This window comes from Homo sapiens, chromosome 6, assembly GCF_000001405.40.
Source record: "Homo sapiens chromosome 6, GRCh38.p14 Primary Assembly".
Lineage (NCBI taxonomy): Eukaryota > Metazoa > Chordata > Mammalia > Primates > Hominidae > Homo > Homo sapiens.
In genome coordinates this window covers 107,909,101-107,930,661 of record NC_000006.12, presented here as the reverse complement: position 1 = coordinate 107,930,661, position 21,561 = coordinate 107,909,101, and the positions used below count along the sequence as shown (strand labels likewise).

At 38.1% G+C, this 21,561-nt stretch overlaps 1 protein-coding gene and 1 pseudogene across 3 annotated transcripts in view; one reads left to right on the top strand and one right to left on the bottom strand.

Annotated features, from left to right (window-relative positions):
• Window positions 1–21,561, top strand: part of SEC63 (SEC63 protein translocation regulator) — a 90,453-nt gene that overhangs the window by 27,547 nt on the left and 41,345 nt on the right. For 2 of the 3 annotated variants that reach the window (NM_007214.5, XM_047418130.1), the window contains exons 2-7: window positions 1,148–1,247; window positions 5,730–5,844; window positions 8,753–8,865; window positions 17,235–17,296; window positions 17,888–17,946; window positions 19,266–19,316. In NM_007214.5, the coding sequence (NP_009145.1) occupies window positions 1,148–1,247; window positions 5,730–5,844; window positions 8,753–8,865; window positions 17,235–17,296; window positions 17,888–17,946; window positions 19,266–19,316 (500 nt within the window). The remainder of the gene's footprint in view (window positions 1–1,147; window positions 1,248–5,729; window positions 5,845–8,752; window positions 8,866–17,234; window positions 17,297–17,887; window positions 17,947–19,265; window positions 19,317–21,561) is intronic. The other variant, XM_047418131.1, reaches the window with a different exon arrangement.
• RNU6-437P (RNA, U6 small nuclear 437, pseudogene) lies at window positions 480–574 on the bottom strand (annotated as a pseudogene).

Genomic DNA, 21,561 nt, shown 5'->3' with positions numbered 1-21,561 from the left:
ATAATTAGAATTTATGATACTGAATTTTACTCTACTTTTTTTTTTTGTTTGTTTGAGACAGAGTTTCACTCTTGTTGCCTAGGCTGGAGTGCAATGGCATGATCTCGGCTCACTGCAACCTCCACCTCCCAGGTTCAAGCAGTTCTCCTGCCTCAGCCTCCCAAGTAGCTGGGATTACAGGCATGCACCACCACGCCTGGCTAATTTTGTATTTTTGGTAGAGACAGGGTTTCTCCATGTTGAGGCTGGTCTCGAACTCCTGACCTCAGGTGATCTGCCCGCCTCAGCCTCCCAAAGTGCCGGGATTACAGGCGTGAGCCACCGCGCCCGGCCCCCTTTTTTTTTTAAAATAAAAATTTTAAATGGTGCTTTTTTTGGGGACGGGGGTGCTCTGAGGCAGGAGGAGTGCTTGAGGCCAGGAGTTTGAGACCAGCCTTGGCAACATAGCAAGACCCAGTTTCTACAAAAAAAAAAAAAAAAAAAAAAAAGAATACTTTGCAAATTTGCGTGTCATCTTTGGGTGAGGGCCATGCTAATCTTCTCTGTATTGCTCCGGTTTTAGCGTATGTCCTGCTCCGGTTTTAGTGTATGTGCTGCTGAAGCAAGCACTCTACCTTTGTTTTAACTGCAAGTTGATTTTATGTTACAGCTCTAAATCTTACTAGTTTTATATCTTAAATAGATGAGATCTAAACTTTGTTGATTAGAAGACATTTTGATAGGCATTTATTTTTGTGTTTGAAGAGTATTATTTCTGCTTAGCTTCCTTAATAAACCATGTTTTAACTATTTTATACTTCTTGTTCCTTCTATAGCAGAGGGGAAAGAGGGAGAGAATTTCCCAGAAATTACTGATTATATCTGACTAAATATTTTGGGTGCAAGTCAGTTTTTGTGTTTTCATTAAGTCTCATTTCCAAAATGGTCACTTGGTAGTTGAATGAAATTTTCTAGATAGGTTGTTTGTTCTAAATGGCAGACAATTTAACCTATCTTGTAAGTTTTTTAAAGGCTATTTGAATAGGCAGTAATTTCATGTTCCATTAAACTATTAGCGTGGTAATGAAGGTTAGTTAACCAGTTAGCTGGTTTTACCTTCACTTGTGAAAAATGGTTTTTAATTCATCTTATTTTTCTTTCTTGACAGAGCAAATTCGATTAAAGAATATCAGAAAAGTATATGGAAGGTGTATGTGGTATCGTTTACGGTTATTAAAACCCCAGCCAAATATTATTCCTACAGTAAAGTAAGTAATGGATTTCAAGAAAAAAACCTACTTAATGCTTACTCTTTGCTAGGTCATACAACATATACGTGTAATGATGAATAAGTCATTGTGTCTGTAAAGAAATTGTAATCTATAGTAAGGGTAAGATAGGAGAAAATGTGGGAACAGTCTGAACAGATTGGTTTAGAAGTTCAAAGGAAGGGGAGTATACTGTTGCTGGAGGTCGGGGGTAGAAAGAGATAAGTCATATCTTGAGGGACCTTGTGCACCTTGTGCCAAGATTTGAATTTTATCTTAAAGACTATGGGGGAATCTTTAAAAGATTTCAGAAGTGGAGAGGTGACATGAACAAGTTAGCATTTCATGGTGATAATTAAAGTTTATTGAGCACATACTGTATGCTAGAATCTGTGCTAGGGCTTTATATGTTATCTAATTTAATTCTGTATTAACTTCAAAGTAGATGGTTTTGCATTTTCTCAGATGAGGAAACAAAGGCTAAGAATGATGACATAACTTGACCAAAGTCATGTAGTTAGAAGTGTTGGATCAGGGACCTAATCACCCTTTATTTTAAACAGGCCATTAACATGTTTAGTTACAGCAGACCAGTTTAATCCTGTGAGGCTATGGGGTGTACTGGTTAAACACAAGGCTTTGGACATTTATCCTGCGTCATCAGTTTAGAGGTAATAGATGAAACTGACAGGAGGTGAGAGAGTTACCATTATTGGACTACTATGTCTTGTGAATTACCTACATTTATCCAGTAGATTGGAAGAGAAGATGTAGCAAAAGAAATTAGTGAGAGTAGAAACAGTTATTTAGAAATCTTGGTTTAAATGATAGTTTTTTTTCAGCATAATTTCAGGGCGTTTAGTTTTTCTTTGTAAGGTTTTACTTTACCTAATTTAGTTTATTTTTCTTTTCTTTTTTTTTTTTTTGAGACAGAGTCTTGCTCTGTTGCCCAGGCTGGAGTGCAGTGGCACTATCTTGGCTCACTGCAGCCTCAGCCTCCTTGGGCTCAGGCATCCTCCCACCTCAGCCTCCTGAGTAGGTGGGAGTACAGGTGCATGCCACTACACCTGGTTAACTTTTTTTTTTGTATTTTTTATAGGGATGGGGTTTCACCATGTTCCCCAGGCTGGTCTCGAACTCTTGGGCTCAAGTGGTCTGCCTGCCTCGGCCTCCAAAAGTGGTAGGATCACAGGCGTGAGCCACCTTGCATGAGCCACCCAGTTTAGTTTCTTTGTAGGAGGAGGGAAATTCTAGCTTTGGTGTTAAGAGTTCTTTAATGATGTGAAACTAAAGGCAAAGTTAGTCTTGAAAAGAGTAATTTTCTCTTCACTGTTTATTCTTTACTGTTGGTTCTCATTTTGAATTAAATTTTCCTAAAGCAGCAAGACAGAAAACAATCCGCCCCTCCCCCCCATATCTGCGGGTTCCAAGTGGGAAGATTCACCCAACTGTGAATCGAAAATATTTGGGGGAAAAAAGCAATAAAAATAACAATACAACAATTAAAAGTATAAATGAAAATACAGTGTAATAACTGTTTCCACAGTGTGTATTATATTAGGTAATATCAGTAATTTAGAGATGATCTAATGTGCATGGGAGGATGTATATAGGTTATATGCAAATACTACATCATTTTATACTGCGGACTTGAGCATCCATGGATTTTAGTATCTGTGGGGGTCCTGGAATCAGTCCCCTGAGGATACCAAGGGACGCATGTATTTTTGGCCTCCCAGTCTCTTATCTGGCTTTGTTCAACACTTTGTGGGTATCTGAACCTGTTTTCAAGGAAAAAAACTTTTATGAAGCTTTTTTAGTGATTAATAAAGTGATTTAATTAAAGTACAGATTAAGGGAGTTTAGGTAAGGAAGAATTAAATATATACTGGTAACAATTTAGATAAGGTCATAAACCATTAAAACTTTTACTACTTAATCTTGAAGCATTCTTTCAAAGTTAAACAATTGGGTAATGCTTCTTTTCTGACACATGTGCGAAACTAAGGCATGTAATTTTTGGAAGTTGCTTCTAAAGATGACCCTTCAGGCTGGGCGTGGTGGCTCATGCCTGTAATCCGAGCACTTTGGGAGGCCGAGGTGGGCGGATCCCCTGAGGTCAGGAGTTGGAGACCAGCCTGGCCAACATAGTGAAACCCTGTCTCTACTAAAAAAATACAAAAAATTAGCCAGGCATGGTGGTGCGTGCCTGTGGTCCCAGCTACTCCGGAGGCTGAGGCAGGAGAATTGCTTGAGCCCAGGAGGTGGAGGTTGCAGTGAGCCGAGATTGTGCCACTGCACTCCAGCCTGGGTGACAGAGTAAGACTCCATTCCCCACCCAGAAAAAAAGATGACACTTGAAGTTAATTACTGAAGCCAAGTATGGGGAAAATGCTTATCTTTTCAGAGGAACCAAACAGGTTTTTTAAAAAAATTGAGCACAGAGCATGATGTGATCCGTTATGTTTCTATCTTTGCTTTGGCTCTCAGGAAACTGTAGAGCATGGCTTTATTGGTTGTGGTAATTTTCATCAGCCTTTGGATTCTGTTATGAGCTTCTCCTTTCCTCTTCTCATTCCTTGGCTTGGAGAACTGGATGCTCCATGTAAAACATACGGTTTAGCATATCCTAGGTGTTTTGTTCCTTTTGCCTTGCTTGGTTTTAAATCTTGCTTTTTTGGTTTCCAATTTCATTTTATCTTTGTTTTGTGAGCTTTGTTTGTTAGCCTTTTGGATGAGTTGGGAAAACAAAAGGGGAGTTAATTCTTGTGGGAATAAAGCATATTTTCAATTTTTGTTTTGTTTTGTTTTTAGCATATTGAGGCTATTACCAAATTTTGGGTTTAAAAAGTGTTAAAAAAAAGTTTGCTGTTGTAGGCTGGCCGCGGTGGCTCATGCCTTAATTCCAGTGCTTTGGGAGGCTGAGGTGGGAGGATTGCTTGAGCCTGGGAGGTCGAGGCTGCAGTGAGCCATGATCATGATTTAAAAACAAATCATTCCAATTTTGTTTAATTTGGCCTCTTAAGATTCATTTGATGTCTTTGTCTAACAGTTCTTGCTCAGTGTAACAAATTGTCATACAAAGGGTATAAGAAATAAAAGTCATTCAGTATAAGAAATAAAAGTCATTCATCACCTAAAGCTAGTTATTATTAAGATAATTACTTTATGCACTTATTTATAATAAAACTTTTATATACATAGAGTTTTGAAAGCTGTTTTGTAAATTTAACAATATAAGATAGATAGTCATCCACAGCAAATATTTTTAGTAGCCAGAAAGTATTTCACTGTAGAGGCTGGGCGCAGTCGCTCACCCCTGTAATTCCAGCACTTTGGGAGGCTGAGGCGAGCGGATCACTTGAGGTCAGGAGTTTGAGACCAGCCTGGCCAACATGGTGAAACCCCATCTCTACTAAAAATACAAAAATTAGCCGGGTGTGGTGGCATGTGCTTGTAGTTTCAGCTACTCAGGAGGCTGAAGTTGCTGTGAGCCAAGATCGTGCCATTGCACTCCAGCCTGGGCAACAGAGCGAGACTCCGTCTAAAAAAAAAAGTTAATCAAATGTACAAATGAACTAATGATACATCTCTACAGTGAAATACTTTCTCTTATTTACATCTGTGACCGCCATTTTAGACTTATTCTTTCCAAATTATTTGAAGTGAAATGGTTTGATAGAAAAACGGTATGTATTTCTTTAGGGCTTTTAATACCTTACTGCCAGATATTACTTTAGAGTGTATAGTGTATGAGAGTTTCTCTTTTTCTTTAACCTCTCCAGTGCTGGTAATGTTAATCTTTTACATAATTTTACTCACTAGAACACATTGGAGGGAGCAGAAATTAGTTTATTTTCAAATGATATGTTCTTTTATACCTTTATTTTAACCGATTATGAACATCCTTCTATAACTATTTATTGGCTACAAAATGTTGCATTGTGTGGCTGTATCATGGTTTATTTAATTATTTCTTTGTAAATAGTTTATTTAATCAGTTCCTGTGAGCCGTAATTTAGGTTGTTTCCAAAGTTTTACTACTATAAACAAGGCTATGTATTTATTTTTGCACAATTGACCAATTGTTTTTCCTAGTTTATCTTAATAAAAGTGTAATTGCTGGGTCAGAGCAATTCTTTTTTACATTAAATGGTTTACTTAGTATTTATTTATTTTGATCTAATTTAATGCGTCCAGTAAGTTAATAAGTTGAATTCACTTCTGTATTTAAAATTGTGCAAATAGTAACTGAGAAAATCTATGAATAGTAGACACTGTACTAGATTATAAAGAATGCAGAGGTAAAAAAGACACTGTCGTTGCTGTAACAGGAGTTTGTAACCCAGTGATTGTAGAATTTGAGTCAGTAGCATAGTGATATGGTACTACTGTAGAGTTTTTGCCTTGACCTTGCCATAATGTCTTTAGACTCTATGCAGATGTATTTGTTTATGATTCACTTACCTTTTTCCTAAACAGGAAAATAGTTCTGCTTGCAGGATGGGCATTGTTCTTATTCCTTGCATATAAAGTTTCCAAAACAGACCGAGAATACCAAGAATACAATCCTTATGAAGTATTAAATTTGGATCCTGTAAGTAGTATTTTTATATAATGCATATTAGTTTAATGGTCCCATGAAAATGCTATAGGTCCTCATTCTAAAAGAAATTGTCTATTCCTATAGAAATCAGACTTTGGTCAGTTTGTTTATTAAAATAAGATGTCTAATCCTCTGTTATTATAATTTAAGCTATAACTGTTGATTGTTATGTTATTAATAATTGGTTTTCAATTGCTAAAATATAAGAATATTTGAAGATGAGAGGAGAGGTTAACATTTTTTTTTACAGAGTCTCACTCTGTAGCCCAGGCTGGAGTGTAGTGGTGTGATCTCGGCTCACTGCAAGCTCCGCCTCCTGGGTTCACGCCATTCTCCTACCTCAGCCTCCCAGGTAGGCGCCCGCCATCACGCCTGTCTAATTTTTTGTATTTTTAGTAGAAACGGGGTTTCACCATGTTAGCCAGGATGGTCTCGATCTCCTGACCTTGTGATCTGCCCACCTCGGCCTCCCAAAGTGCTAGGATTACAGGCGTGAGCCACCGCGCCCGGCCGGTTAACATTTTTTAAAGGCTTTTTTTTTTTTTGAGACGGAGTTTTGCTCTGTTGCCCAGGCTGGAGTGCAGTGGCACGACGTCGGCTCACTGCAAACTCTGCCTCCTGGGTTCATGCCATTCTCCTGCCTCAGCCTCCCAAGTAGCTGGGACTACAGGCACCTGCCATCACGCCTGGCTAATTTTTTGTATTTTTAGTAGAGATGGGGTTTCACCATGTTAGCCAGGATGGTCTCAATCTCCTGACCTCATGATCCACCCGCCTTGGCCTCCCAAAGTGCTGGGATTACAGGCGTGAGCCACCGTGCCCAGCCTAAAGGCATATTTTTAAGAGAGATCTGTAATATTGGTTAATGCAAAGTTAAAACTGGGAGGATAATTTGTGTTAGTTGAATGATAAAAATCTTATGACCTTGTATTCATTGACACTTAAGCAATGTAAAATCTAGGTTGGGGGTCTTAGAAAGAACTAATATCAGCCAGGAACGGTGGCTTACACCTGTAATCCTAGCACTTTGGGAAGCTAAGGTGGGAGGATCGCTTGAGGTCAGGAGTTTGGGCAACATAGTGACACCCAGGCTGTATCAAAAAAAAAAAAAAAAAATTACCTGGGTGTGATAGCAACACACCTATAGTCCTAGCTACTTGGGAGGCCAAAGTGAGAGGATAGTTTGAGCCAAGAAGGTTGAGATGAGTGAGCCATGATCCGCACCATTGCACTCTAGCCTGGGCAGCAGAGTGAGACCCTGTCTCTTAAAACTAAAGTGAAACTAGTATCATTAATGTCATTGTCATGGAAATTTAGGTTAACCTTGAGTGTGCCCCTTAGGTGATTTTTTGATTAAACCTGATTAATGGGTTCTAAATAGAAAACTAGTCTTTTGGCCAGCCGCAGTGGCTCGTGCCTATAATATCAGTACTTTGGGAGGCTGAGGTAGGAGGATTGCTTGAGGCCAAGAGTTTGAGACCAGCCTGGGCAACATAGGGAAACCCTCATCTGTACAAAAAACTAACACAATTAGCTGAACGTGGTGACACACCCCTGTGGTTCCAGCCACTTGGGAAGTCAAGGCTGCAGCGAGCTGTGATTGCACCACTGCACTCCAGCCTGGGCGACAGAGCAAGACTGTCTCAAAAAAAAAATCTTTTGTGTTTATCAGTAGAATGTTAGAACTGAAATTAATGATAGAGATCATCTAGCCTTTTATAAAAATATATAATTTTTTAAACCTGGGAGCATATATTCAAGTTGCCCTGAATATATATGTATGTATTCCCTATTTATTAATTTTTTTTTTTTTAAAGAAAATGAGGCCTGGATAATTTGTGTCTTGTCTGGGGTTCCAAGCTTCTTACTTAGTAGCCAAGCTCAATCTAGTGCTCTTTCTATTTTCTCCCCCATGGCACTTACTTTTACTTTGAGTCTTTGCTCAGTAGATGGCTTGATCCAGACATTCATATAATACAAACTAAGGAGGGTGTGTATCATCTAGTTTTCTGTTTTGTAGAAGAAAAGTTTACATATCATGTGATTTTTTTCTTATTGCATTGATCATAGTCATTAAGAGAGATTTTAAGATTAGAAGGGCAATAAAAAACAGTGAAAAAATTATTAATAGAAATCGAGACTAAGAAACCATTAAGGTCAACTTGATAGACAAGCAGCTGAAACCAGGTATTCCTCAGATTATTCCTTAGAAAGTTAACCTTTGATTTGAGGATTCTTTGAGCCAGATTTAATTTATTGTGATTATTTTTTGATATTTATTTATTTTTATCTTCATTTTTTGAGAGACGAAGTCTCACTCTGTCAGCTAGGCTGGAGTGCAGTGGCGTAGTCTCAGCTCACTGCAGCCTCTACCTCCTGAGTTCAAGTGATTCTCCTGCTTCACCTTCCCAAGTAGCTGGGACTACAGGTGTGCATCACCACACGAGCTAATTTTTGTATTTTTTAGTAGAGTTGGGGTTTCACTATATGTTGGCCAAGCTGGTCTTGAACTCCTGACCTCAGGTGATCCGCCCACCTTGGCTTCCAAAGTGCTGGGATTACAGGCTGTGCCTGGCCTATTTTTTGATATTTAAATGTCAGTATTATTTTATGTAAATTTGTCATCTGTTTTCACTTTCAAATTATCAGTGCTTAGTTTACTATGTGGCACATAGTAGGTGCTCAATAAAATACATATATTGGACAATATAAGTGTTTTTATTTAATATATGGGATGAAATTTATGGGAAAAATATATAGGATGAAAAATGGATTTTGTCTTTCTCAAAATACTGAGTAGTTCATATTTTAAGTTCAAAATAGGATTGATTATTTCTTTACAGAATTGTGCTTATTTTTGCTAACAGAAAGCTTGTTTTTTTTTTTTGTTTTTCCCCAGGGAGCCACAGTAGCAGAAATTAAAAAACAATATCGTTTGCTGTCACTTAAATATCATCCAGATAAAGGAGGTGATGAGGTTATGTTCATGAGGATAGCAAAAGCTTATGCTGCGTAAGTATCAGGATCCATTACAAATTTTTAAGAATGGTACAGATAAGCCAGGTGCAGTGGTTCATGCCTGTAATCCCAGTACTTTGGGAGGCTGAGGCAGGAGGATCGCTTGAGCCCAGGAGTTTGAGACCATCCCTGGCAACATACCAAGACCCCATCTCTACAAAAAATAAAAGAATTAACCCTGTGTGGTGGTGTGTGCCTGTAGTCCTAGCTACTTGGGAGGCTGAGGTGGGAGCGTTGTTTGAGCCTGGGAGGTCAAGGCTGCAGTGAGCCGTGACCATGCCACTGCAGCCCAACTTCGATGACAGTAATACTCCATCTCTAAAGAAAAAAAAAAAAAGGATAGTTTTCTGTTTTAATAAAATATTAAAATAGTTGTCATACACTTTTTCCAAGTGCTTACTTCATGTTGAGTCTATCATTTAGGGGCTACACAGCAGCACTAACGTGGTAATTTAATTTAATTAAACTGTAATTTTTGCCATGTAAACTTGATTAAATTAAGTGGTGAATGATAAGTTAATTGAGCTATTTTATTAGCATTTTGATTAGAGGAGGGTATACTTAGATCTTACCATTTCTAGATTTTTTTTTTTTAGGCTTGATCTGTTTCTCTTGTTTTGGCAATGTGTAGCTTATCTCATTTAAACTATTTAAAGACAAGTTTAATTTGGACTTTTAAGTACTTCATTTTTGGTGTCTTTTTCTTTTTAGAATTTCGTCACACAAGATTATTCTTAGTTAATAACAACTGTACTTGTTGAGATGTGGATTTTTAAGGTCTCCTTTTTCACTGCTCAGAAACTGTCTTCACAAATCTTTTCAGAACTTCCAAATAATTTTCCTTGTTGGTCTTATGCCTTAGGTAAGGTGCATTGTTATTATGAGATACATATATTCACATATGCGTTATATGCACACACATATGTCTGTGTATTTATAAAGTTTGAGGAACATTTGTGCACCCTTTTGGGAAGCAGAATAGAGTGTGTAACATTAGATGCAGTGATCTCTTGCGTATTAATCTTCCAAGAGATAAAACTTAACTAGATTCTTCAGGACTCTTCATAAGTACATCCCCACATAGCTCTTACATTGAATGAAAGAGTGAAATATGAGATTGTCTGTCTTTTGAGGACTCAGTGATGTATAATTTTGTGAACTCAATTTAAACGTGTAAATAAATACAAGCATACTTTGGAGATACTATAGGTTCAGTTCCAGTCTCCTGCAATAAAGCAAATATTGCAATAAAGTGAGTCACAAATTTTTTTGTTTCCTACTGCATATAAAAGTTGTTTATACTACACCATAGTCTATTAAGCGTGCAGTAGCCTTATGTCTTTTTTTTTTTTTTTTTTTTTTTTTGAGACGGAGTCTCGCTCTTTCGCCCAGGCTGGACTGCAGTGGCGCTATCTCGGCTCACTGCAAGCTTTGCCTCCCAGGTTCATGCCATTCTCCTGCCTCAGTCTCCCGAATAGCTGGGACTACAGGTGCCTGCCACCACGCCCGGCTAATGTTTTTTTGTATTTTTAGCAGAGATGGGGTTTTACCATGTTAGCCAGGATGGTCTCGATTTCCTGACGTCGTGATCCTCCCGCCTCGGCCTCCCAAAGTGCTGGGATTACAGGAGTGAGCCACTGTGCCCAGCCAGCCTTATGTCTTAAAAAACAATGTACATACCTTAATTTAAAAATACTGTATGGCTAAAAAATGCTAGTAATCTGAGCCTTTGACAAATTACATTCTTTTTGCTGGTGGAGGGTCTTGCCTTGATGTTGATGGCTGTTGACTGATCAGGATAGTGGTTACTGAAGGTTGGGCTGGCTGTGACAATTTCTTAAAATAAGACGACAATTAAATTGACTACATCATTTAAATTCTTTTCATGAAAGATTTCTCTAGCATGTGATGCTATTTGATAGTATTTTATGGACAGAACTTCTTTGTTTTCTTTTTCTTTTTTTTTTTTGAGATGGAGTCTTGCTCTGTCGCCCAGGCTGGAGTGGAGTGGCGCGATCTTGGCTCACTGCAACTTCCGCCTCCCGGGTTCACGCCATTCTCCTGCCTCAGCCTCCCGAGTAGCTGGGACTACAGGCACCCGCCAACATGCCCGGCTAATTTTTAATATTTTTAGTAGAGATGGGGTTTCACCACGTTAGCCAGGATGGTCTTGATTTCCTGACCTTGTGATACGCCTGCCTTGGCCTCCCAAAGTGCTGGGATTACAGGTGTGAACCACCGTGCTCAGCCAGAACTTCTTTCAAAATTGGAGTCAATCCTCTCACATTCTGCCACTGCTTTATCAACTAAGTTTACGTAATATTTTAAATCCTTTATTGTGATTTCAACAATGTTCACAGCATCTTCATCAGGAATAGATACCATCTTAAGAAGCTACTTTGCTCAACTATAAGAAGCAACTCATCTGTTCAAGTTCGATCATGAGATTGCAGCAATTCAGTCACATCTTCAGGTTCCACTTGTTTAGTTCTCCTGCTATTTCTAGCACATCTGTAGTGACTTTCTCTACTGAAGTCTTGAACTGCTCCAAGTCATCCATGAAGGTTGAAATCAACTTCTGGCCAGGCGCGGTAGCTCATGCCTGTAATCCCAGCACTTTGGGAGGCCGAGGCAGGTGGATCACCTGAGGTGAGGAGTTTGAGACCAGCCTGACCAACATGGAGAAAACTCTATCTCTACTAAAAATTCAAACTTAGCCGGGTGTGGTGGGGCATGCCTGTAATCCCAGCTACTTGAGAGGCTGAGGCAGGAGACTCACTTGAACCTGGGAGGCGGAGGTTGGGGTGGGCCAAGATTGTGCCATTGCACTCCAGCCTGGGCGACAGAGTGAGACTCTGTCTCAAAAAAAAAAAAAAAAAAAAAAAAGGAAATCAGCTTCTACCAAACTCCTCTTGATGTTGACATTTTGGCCTCTTCCTGTGAATCACAAATGTTCTTAATGGCATTTAGAATAGTGAATCCTTTCCAGAAGGTTTTCAATTTACTTTACCCAGATCCATCAGAGGTATCACTGTGTCTGTAGCAGCTATAGCTTTACAAAGTGTATGTCTTCTTTTTGTTTTTTGTTTTTTTTTTTTTGAGATGGAGTCTCACTCTGTTGCCCAGGCTGGAGTGCATTGCTGCGATCTTGGCTTACTGCTACCTTTGCCTCCTGGATTCAAGCAATTCTTCTTCCTCAGCCTCCCGAGTAGCTCGGACTACAGGCATGCACCACCATGCCTGGCAAATTATTGTATTTTTAGTAGAGACAGGGTTTTATGTTGGTCAGGCTAGTCTTGAACTCCTGACCTCAGGTGATCTGCCCACCTCGGCCTCTGAAATTGCTCAGTGCAAGTCTTACTATTTCTTAAATAATAAGACTTAAAAGTCAAAATTACTTTTTGATCTGTGTGCTGCAGAATGAATGTTGTGTTAGCAGGTGTGAAAACATTAATCTGTTTGTACAGCTCCATCAGAGTTCTTGAGTGACCACGTGCGTTGTCAATGAGCAGTAATCTTTTGAAAGGAATCATTTTTTTTTTTTTGAGCAGGTCTCAACAGTGGGCCTAAAATATTCAGTAATCCATGCTGTCAACACATGCTGTCATCAAGGATTTGTTGTTCTATTTATAGAGCATGGCAGAATAGATTTAGCATAGATCTTAAGAGCTCTAGGACTTTTGGAATGGCACACCAGCATTGGCTTCAAGTTAAAGTCGCCAGCAACGTTAGCCCCTACCAAGAAAGTCAGCCTGTCTTTTGAAGCTTTGAAGTCAGGCATTTATTTCTCTCCAGCAGTGAAAGTCCTAAATGGCATATTTTTCCAGTATAAGGCTATTTTGTCTACATTGAAAATTTGTTGTTTAGCCACCTTCATTGTGATCTTAGCTAGATCTTCTGGATAACTTGCTGCAGCTTCCAAATCAGCACTTGCTACTTCACCTTGCACTTCTGTTGTAGAGATGGTTTCTTTTGGAAAATCTTGTGGACCAACATCTGCTAGCTTCTGCAGCTCCCTCACCTCTCTCAGCCTTCGTTAGGGCCTTGCTTTGGATTAGGCTTTGGTTTAAGGGAACATTGTGGGTAGTTTGATCTTCTGTCGAGACCACTGAAACATTCTTCAAATCAGCAACAAGGCTGTTTCACTTTCTTATTATTTGTGTGTTCACTTTTAAGTTCCTTTAAGCGCTGTTGCTCTGAATTCACAACTTGACTGTCTGGCACAAGAGGCCTAGCTTTTGGCTTGTTTTGGCTTTTGACATGCCTTCTTCACTAAGCTTAGTCATTTCTAGCTTTTGATTCAGAGTGAGAGACGTGTGAGTCTTTTTTCGTTTAAACATTTAGAGGCCCGCCGAGACCAGCTCGGTCAGGGAGACCCTAACCCAGCGGCCCTAGAGGAATTAAAGACACACATACAGAAATAGAGAGGTGTGAAGTGGGAAATTAGGGGTCTCACAGCCTTCAGAGCTGAGCACCCCAAACAGAGATTTACCCACATATCTATTAACAGCAAACCAGTCATTAGCATTGTTTCTATAGATACTAAATTAACTAAAAGTATCCCTTATGGGAAATGAAGGGATGGGCCGAATTAAAGGAATAGGTTGGGCTAGTTAACTGCAGCAGGAGCATGTCCTTAAGGTACAAATCGCTCATGCTGTTGTTTGTGGCTTAAGAATGCCTTTAAGCAGTTTTCTGCTCTGGGTGGGCCAGGTGTTCTTGCCCTCATTCCGGTAAACCCACAACCTTCCAGCGCGTGTGTTAGGGCCATTATGAACATGTTACAGTGCTGCAGAGATTTCGTTTATGGCCAGTCTTGGGGCCAGTTTATGGCCAGATTTTGTGGGGGCTTGCTCCCAACAGAGGCCATTTTAGGGTTAGTAATTTGCCCAATTTGAATCTTGTGTGTCTCAGGGAATAGGGAGGCATGAGGAGTGGGAGAGAGATGGGGGAATGGCCAGTGAGTGGAGCATTTGAAACACATATGTATTAAGTTCTTTTTCTTCTGCAGGTGCAGTTTGTGTGCCAGCCCCGCAATGATAATAGAAATGTCAAAGATCACATATCACTATAACAGATAAAATAATAGTGAAAACATTAGATATATTGTGAGACTTACCAAAATGTGAGAGAGGGACATGAAGTGAGCACATGCTGTTGGAAAAATGGCACTGATAGAATTGCTTGATGCAGGGTTAACACAAATGGCAGAAAAACACGATTATCTGCAAAGTGCAATAAGAAGTTTGCTTGCAATAGCATACTAAGTTATAATAGCAAATTGTGAAAGTGGCATGTAAATGACAGAAGTTTGGGAGATATCACCTTACTTATTTTTGTACTTAGTAGAGGATATTGACTATGTCTCTTCTCTCCCCTTGTTTTGTGGCTTGCTGTTTATCTATGTGAATTACTATATGATTCTGTAATAAAGCAGTGCCATTAGGACTTTTGAAGTGTGTACTACATTTTCTGCGTAGCAGTTGTCCTTGAGGTTACTGTCTTTCAGTTAGTGTCTCCTTCAAGCATTTACTCTCTTTTCACAAGTATTGGTATGCCTTGATTGCTGTCTTCAGGTAATTTAAAAAGACATTTCCAGAGGAAGTCAGGTAGCCAAGACTATTTAATTAGTAGTTTTTATTTTAGTGCTTTGGTGAAATCCCCCCACCCTATCCCCCCAGTCTTTAGGTATTTTAACATTTTCAAGTTTATAATTTTGTTCTCAGATTTCTGGAAATCTGACTATGATGTGTGGTCACTATTCTGAAAAATGCACAAGAATAATATAAGGTGTTTAGTTTTAACTCAGTTATGTGGTTAAACTGTAGAATATTTTATGTATAAAATGTCTTAAATAGTTGACGTTCTGTAAGACCAATGAAAAAGTGAAGTGATCGTGGGACCTAGAACTTTGAGATTATGTAACTTGCATAAATATAACTATATTAGATAAAGGTATATATTTTACCAACTATAAGTTCTAAGTGCTTGAGTTGAAGTTCCTATCTCATGAATAACTCTAGCAGCCTTGGAATGCAGTTATATAGGCTTTGATGTGCAAAGTTTTTTAGAACTTGCTTAGGTTATTTGAGATCATTTTTCTCTCCTTAGTTGCCTATTATAATAAACCAGCTGGGTCATTTCATTTTTTTTTTAATCAGATTTTCACTCTTTCCTTTAGGAGTTATACCATTGAATTCTCTGGTTCATTATCTAGATAGAATTGAGATTTTGCTCTCAGATGTAAAACCTGTCTTTAAAGCTATTGTATAGCAAGTGGGCAGCGTTGTTGTCACCTTAAAGATATGTTAATTTTTATAAAAGCATATGGTTTTTACAGATGAGCATGTAACTTATAATAACTGTGCATAGCCAACTCATGGTCACTTGTTTACAGTTTAGTGAAAGCATTCTCTAGATCAAGATTTATGATCTGGAGTCCCTGAAATTGTATACAAAATTTATGTGTCTTTGTAATGTGCATTTTTCCCAGGGCAAAGGGGTCATAGATTTCCTTAGATTCATAAGAGAATCTATAATCGTCCTCTGTTACCCCCAAAAAATTAAGGGATATAATCATGTTTAGGAAACTACACTCACTGAATTTTCAAAAATTCTGTTAGCATCATTGATCTTGTTTAAGCTTGTTAAATGTGAATTATACTAAAATTACGCAGCTTTTAAGTACTTTAACTCTTAGAAGTGGTATTATACTGAAATGCTAAGTAACAAAAATTCATTTGCTTCTTAAACTGACTTTAAGTTGCTGACTTATTTTATTAGATTGAATGTTCAACATGGTTCCCATCACACAGCAGTTGTAGAAGTCAGTTTAATGAGTGAGTTAATGTAATCGTAACTCGTAGGTCTGTGTAGGTTGCAAAATCAGAGTGTCTCTGATGTGAGCTATGCTTTATTTGGCAAAATCTGGGAGTATTGTATAGAGGACAGAGCAGTTTGTTTTGCATAATCACAAAGGCAGAAGGGGACAGAGATGGTTATTTTGGGCAGAAGGATCCAATTAGAAGACAATAGTGAAAGAAACAAGCTAAAACTCTGAGTTGGGTGGACAGTTGTACAGGGGATCTAGGACAAAATTTTTGAGAAACATCCCTCAATTTTGAAAAGAAAATCTTAGCACTATTCCTTATTATCTTGCAACCTGTCTAGTAATGCTTTTTATTGGCTCCTGTATTTTTCTGTGGCCTTTCATCAAATAGTGTAAGTGGAGTTACAATTAAATAAGGATTAAAGACATCAAGGCACCTGTTTGCATAAATGACTAAATTGATAAATTTAAAAATATTTTCAAGTCATCGAAAACTAATGAATGTCCTTTTTGCTATTTTATAAAGGTATTTCTGCATTGCCTATCTCAGATTGGAGTTTTGTTAAATAGAAACTACATTGCCTCTTAAGTTTTGAGAAGTAGAAGTACGGTTAAAATTAGATTTGACCATATGGAAGATCTTTTACCAGTTGGTCTCCAAGAATGTCTTCCTTATTATGTTATTGGTCATTTTTGAGCGTGTGTGTTGGTGGGGTGGTTTCTGCCTTATATTCCTTAACTACATTGTATATTTTTGTAAGGAATTGGGAATTCATTTTAATGCTTTTTAACATCTTCACTGGGAACTGGAATAAAGTTATTCTTGACTCTGTACCTTGAGCCATTGTCAAAGTCAGGGGTTACATTTTAGGTATCTAAAAATTACTCTTTAACTTTCACATTCCCTGGGTTAGGAAGCTGCTGTTCAGGAGAAATTTTCCTGGTTCTTCTGGCAATTGGCTTAGGAGAAAATTGTGATCTTAGCACAGTGCAAATTACCTTACCCACAGCAATGGAGTTTTACATGTGGTGGTCATCTGTTTCTTTCAGAATGTGGTGCTATTGTTTTGTGGGGAAGCTACCATTATGAATTAAATTTATGTTTTTAAAAAATGTGTATTTATCATTACTAATGTATAAACATGCTCATTGAAGAAATTTTGGAAAATATATGAGAGTATAAGGGGAAAAAAATCGCCTACAATTCTCCCTGCCTTCTTAGAAAATGTAGTTGCCTTTAAAGTTTGATCTGGTTGAACTGAGAACCATCTGGTTGAACATGAGAACTGGTTAAGCTTGAGAACCATGGGCCAACCAGGAATTAGTATCAAGACGCAATAGTTAGCATTTTCTGTTAATGCGCATTTCTTGCTCCTCCCTTTCCCTTTCTCCTGATTTCAGAGAAACTTTTCTTGATTCATGGAATCAGTATCTTCTAAGAAATGAGTTGGTTGGCTAATGGAGTTTGTCTATATGAGTACTTGTTTTTCAGATGTGGCTTTCTAATTTTGCAACTTTGTTCTTTTGATGCTAGTTTAACGGATGAAGAGTCCCGGAAAAATTGGGAAGAATTTGGAAATCCAGATGGGCCTCAAGGTGTGGTAAATGATGATTTTAAAATATTGGCGATATGGTATATATTATAAAAATGTTAACCAGATTAAAGGAATAATATTATTTTCTTACTAAACTTATACTCACATGGAGTTTAACATAGATAAATTGAGCTCTCATTAATTTTTGCTTTATTTTTCTTTCTAAAGACTAGTTTGAAAGATATAATTTAAGTTGATCCATAGAGAAGAATAATCACTATCATTTCCAATTACTAGTTGATAAAAATTTGGAGGAAAAAATCTTATTTTTCTTTACAGACTTCACATTTTCTCATGTGTTCATAGTGTTTATGTAAACTCAGGACATATAAAATAATTTATATTTTCTTGAGAGAAGGAATTTGTACTTACAGGGTTTCTTTTTCCTTGAAAAATTTGAAGTTTCAGATATAAACTATATCCCTGAACTTTTGTGTAATGGGGGCCTACTAATAAGATAATCTTTCTCAAAGTTTGTTTTTGTGTTGTGGGGGAGAGTTCTGGGATATATTATAGATCCCAAATATATTTAATGTATTTATTAAAACTGAAAGTAGAGATTCTTCAGAAACTGATATTTTTTCTATTTCAGCCACAAGCTTTGGAATTGCCCTGCCAGCTTGGATAGTTGACCAGAAAAACTCAATTCTGGTGAGTGCATTTAAATAAGATACATTATGATGTATTAGACAAAATTTTTGTTATGTACAATCTGTCTTGGTAATACAAGAAGAACTATTACAAAGAAAATACTGGTGTGCCATTCATTCATTCATTCATTTGAGACAGAGTCTTGCTCTATTGCCCAGGCAGGAGAGCAGTGGCGTGATCTCGGCTCACTGCAACCTCTGCCTCCTGGGTTCAAGCGATTCTCCTGCCTCAGCCCCCGCTGAGTAGCTGGGATTACAGGTACCCACCACCATGCCTGGCTAATTTTTGCATTTTTAGTAGAGATGGGGTTTTGCCATGCTGGCCAGGCTGGTCTCGAACTCTCAAACTCCTGACCTCAAGTTATCTGCCTGCCTCAGCCTCCCACCATGTTGGGATTACAAGCATGAGCACTATGCCTAATTTTAATTTACAATAAATTGAATTGTATATATTCCATATGGTATTTCAGGAGGAGGTAGGATATCAGACTTCAATCACTGCAACCCTAAAATGTCAAGAATTATCTTACTCAGGGATACATTCCTACTTCAACTTTCTTGAAAATAATTGTCTAAAGGCTGTCTTTGAGGCAATAAAAACAAAATCCACATAGTCTGTAATTTGTTTTGAAAATGGCTATTAAGTTATTATCTGGCAGATTAAAATTGGTTACCTTGAGGGGGTATACAGTTGCTGCATAAGCTTGTTTGTCATGCTTCTGGTTAGTAGGAATAGTCGAGAAGGAATAAGTTACTACCAGATTTAGGATCAAGTAATAGGAGAAAAATCAGTAGGTAAAAATTGCTAGTCAGCATTATGAAGTGACTCCTTGATATTTAGCTAAAGGAACCTTTGGCCAGGGGCTTCTTATCTCATTTGTTCCCAGAGCACTAACTACTGAGAGGTTGTGGATATATAAATACCTGCCTGACTGGAAGAGAAATGTAATTTACAAAACTGTTTTGCTGGTGTTAATCTGTATTGTGTCAGTAAATAAAAAATTAAAAGGTAATTTATTATAGTGGATATGAACATAGGCTCTAGAGCTGAACTACTTGGGTTCAAATCCTGGCTGTGCAATTTGCTAGCTGTGTCCTAGGACAAGTTATGTAACCCATGTGTACTGCAGGTTTTCTACCTACAAAAGGAGGGTAATAATGGTACCTTCCTCTTGGAGTTTGAGAATAAGGATTAAACAAGATAATACATGAGGAATCCTTTTAATAGTGGCTCCCCCATTGTAAGCCTCAAAATAAATTCATGGATGTTGTTTTAATTTACCTGACGAAGGCCATAATTCTTTTTCTCTTCAATTTTAGGTTTTACTTGTATATGGATTGGCATTTATGGTTATCCTTCCAGTTGTTGTGGTAAGTTTTAGCTTTTTAAGTTAATGTTTTTTTTGGAAAGGAGATTGACATGTTTTGGAGTCTCCCTATAACATTTTAAATGTATGTTAGAATATAACCCATTGATCCTTGAATTTAAGAGTCTTGCCACTGAAGGTGAGGTGGGAGGATCGCTTGAGCCTAGGTGTTTGAGGTTGCGGTGAGCCATGACCCCACCTCTGCACTCCAGCCTGGGCCACAGAGTGAGACCCCAACTGAAAAAAAAATTATATAACTATACTTTTAATGGTCTTCTAAATGTGACATTACTTGAGCATGATGTGTATATCCTCCCAATTCAAAAATTACCCACAACTGACCGGGCATGGTGGCTCACTCCTGTAATCCCAGCACATTGGGAGGCTGAGGTGGGCAGATCAATTTAGGGCAGGAGTTTGAGACCAACATGGTGAAACCCTGTCTTTACTAAAAATACAAAATTAGTCAGACATGCTGGTTTGAACCCAGGAGGCAGAGGTTGCAATGAGCCGAGATTGTGCCACTACACTCCAGCCTGGGTGACAGAGCGAGACTCTGTCTCAAAGAAAAAAACAAAAATCACAAAAGTTACAACTGAGTTAACACAGATACATATATACATATGTATACATATGTGTGTATGTATATATGTATGACATATGTATATGTGTACATATGCATGACAGATGTGTATAAATGTATGACATGTGTATATATGCATGACACGTGCATATATGTATGACACGTGTGTGTATGACATACATGTGTATGACACGTGTATATGTATGACATGCATATATGTATATATGTATGACATGCATATATGTATATATATGTTTTAAATACAGGGAAACTGTCCATTTTAATTTTATTTTTGTTATTTATTTATTTTTGAGACAAGGTCTTGCTGTATAGTAAGGTGGTGCAAACATGGCTCTCTGCAGCCTCTACCTCCTGGGTTCAAGCAAATCCTCCCACCTCAGCCTCCCAAGTAGCTAAGACCACAAGTGTGTACCACCATGCCCTGCTAATTTTTAAATTTTTTTGTAGAGATGGGGTCTTGCCACGTTGCCCAGGCTGGTCTTAAACTCCTGGGCTCAAACGATTATCCTGCCTCGGCCTCTCAAAGTACTAGGCTTACAGGTGTGAACCACCATGCCTGGCTGACACAGATATATTTAAAGTTTCAAATGAAAGTCTTCCCGCACTACCACCCTCAACTTCATTTATTTAGGAATCATTGGGAAGTTGGGTGTTTTTTCTTTAAAATCTTTTTCTATGAATTTATGTACACACATTCATTTTAAAAAAAACCTTTAATGAGATTTTACTGTATGTGTGCATTATTCTGTTTTTTTGCTTAATATAATGGGGATGCAACATATAGAAAAGCCTCATTTTTTAAAACAGCTGTATAATACTATAATACGGAGATACCATACAATTTGATATTCACCATTTGTTACTTTTGTGACTTGTGTCCTTTCTGATCCTGGAGTTCCTTTTAGTCACATAGTGAGTCTAATAATTAAGTTGTTTGTTTTGCTTTCTTCAAAGGATTGTTGCAAGAATCCAATCATATTAAGTAATATGAATGAAAGTGTCATGTCAACTTGTAAAATTATGCCTACATTTGTTTATCAAGTATTTATTGAAGACATGCTGTGTGTCAAGAACCAGCTTGGTGCTTATAGCAGTGGGTAGTTTTATCCCTTTTTGGTCTTTAAGGTATTTCTATCCAAAATGGTAAATGTTTTGATTATATATATGCAGTGACTTAGGTTGGTGTTTAGGCTTCAGACAGTATAAATATTTGCTAAAGAAATCACTTGAAATATGCAAGAAAGAGGTCCTTGTTGTAAGACTCAGGTATTTTTATTGTTTTATGAATATTTAGAAGATTTGACCATAAACATATTCTGCCTCAAACTTAACATTTATCAGGGTTTTGTTTTGCTTTTTTTTTTTTTTTGAGACAGAGTCTCCCTCTGTCACCTAGGATGGAGTGCAGTAGTATGATCATGGCTACTGCAGCCCTGACCTCCTGGACTCTAGCAATCTTCCCACCTCAGCTTCCTGAGCAGCTGGGACTAGAGGCATGTGCCACCATGCCCAGCTAATGTTTGCATTTTTCTTTTTCTTTTGTAGAGACAGGGTCTCACTATGTTGCCCAGGCTGGTCTCAAACTCCTGGGCTCAAGCAGTCCTCTCACCTCAGCCTCCCAAAGTGCTGGGATTACAGGAATGAG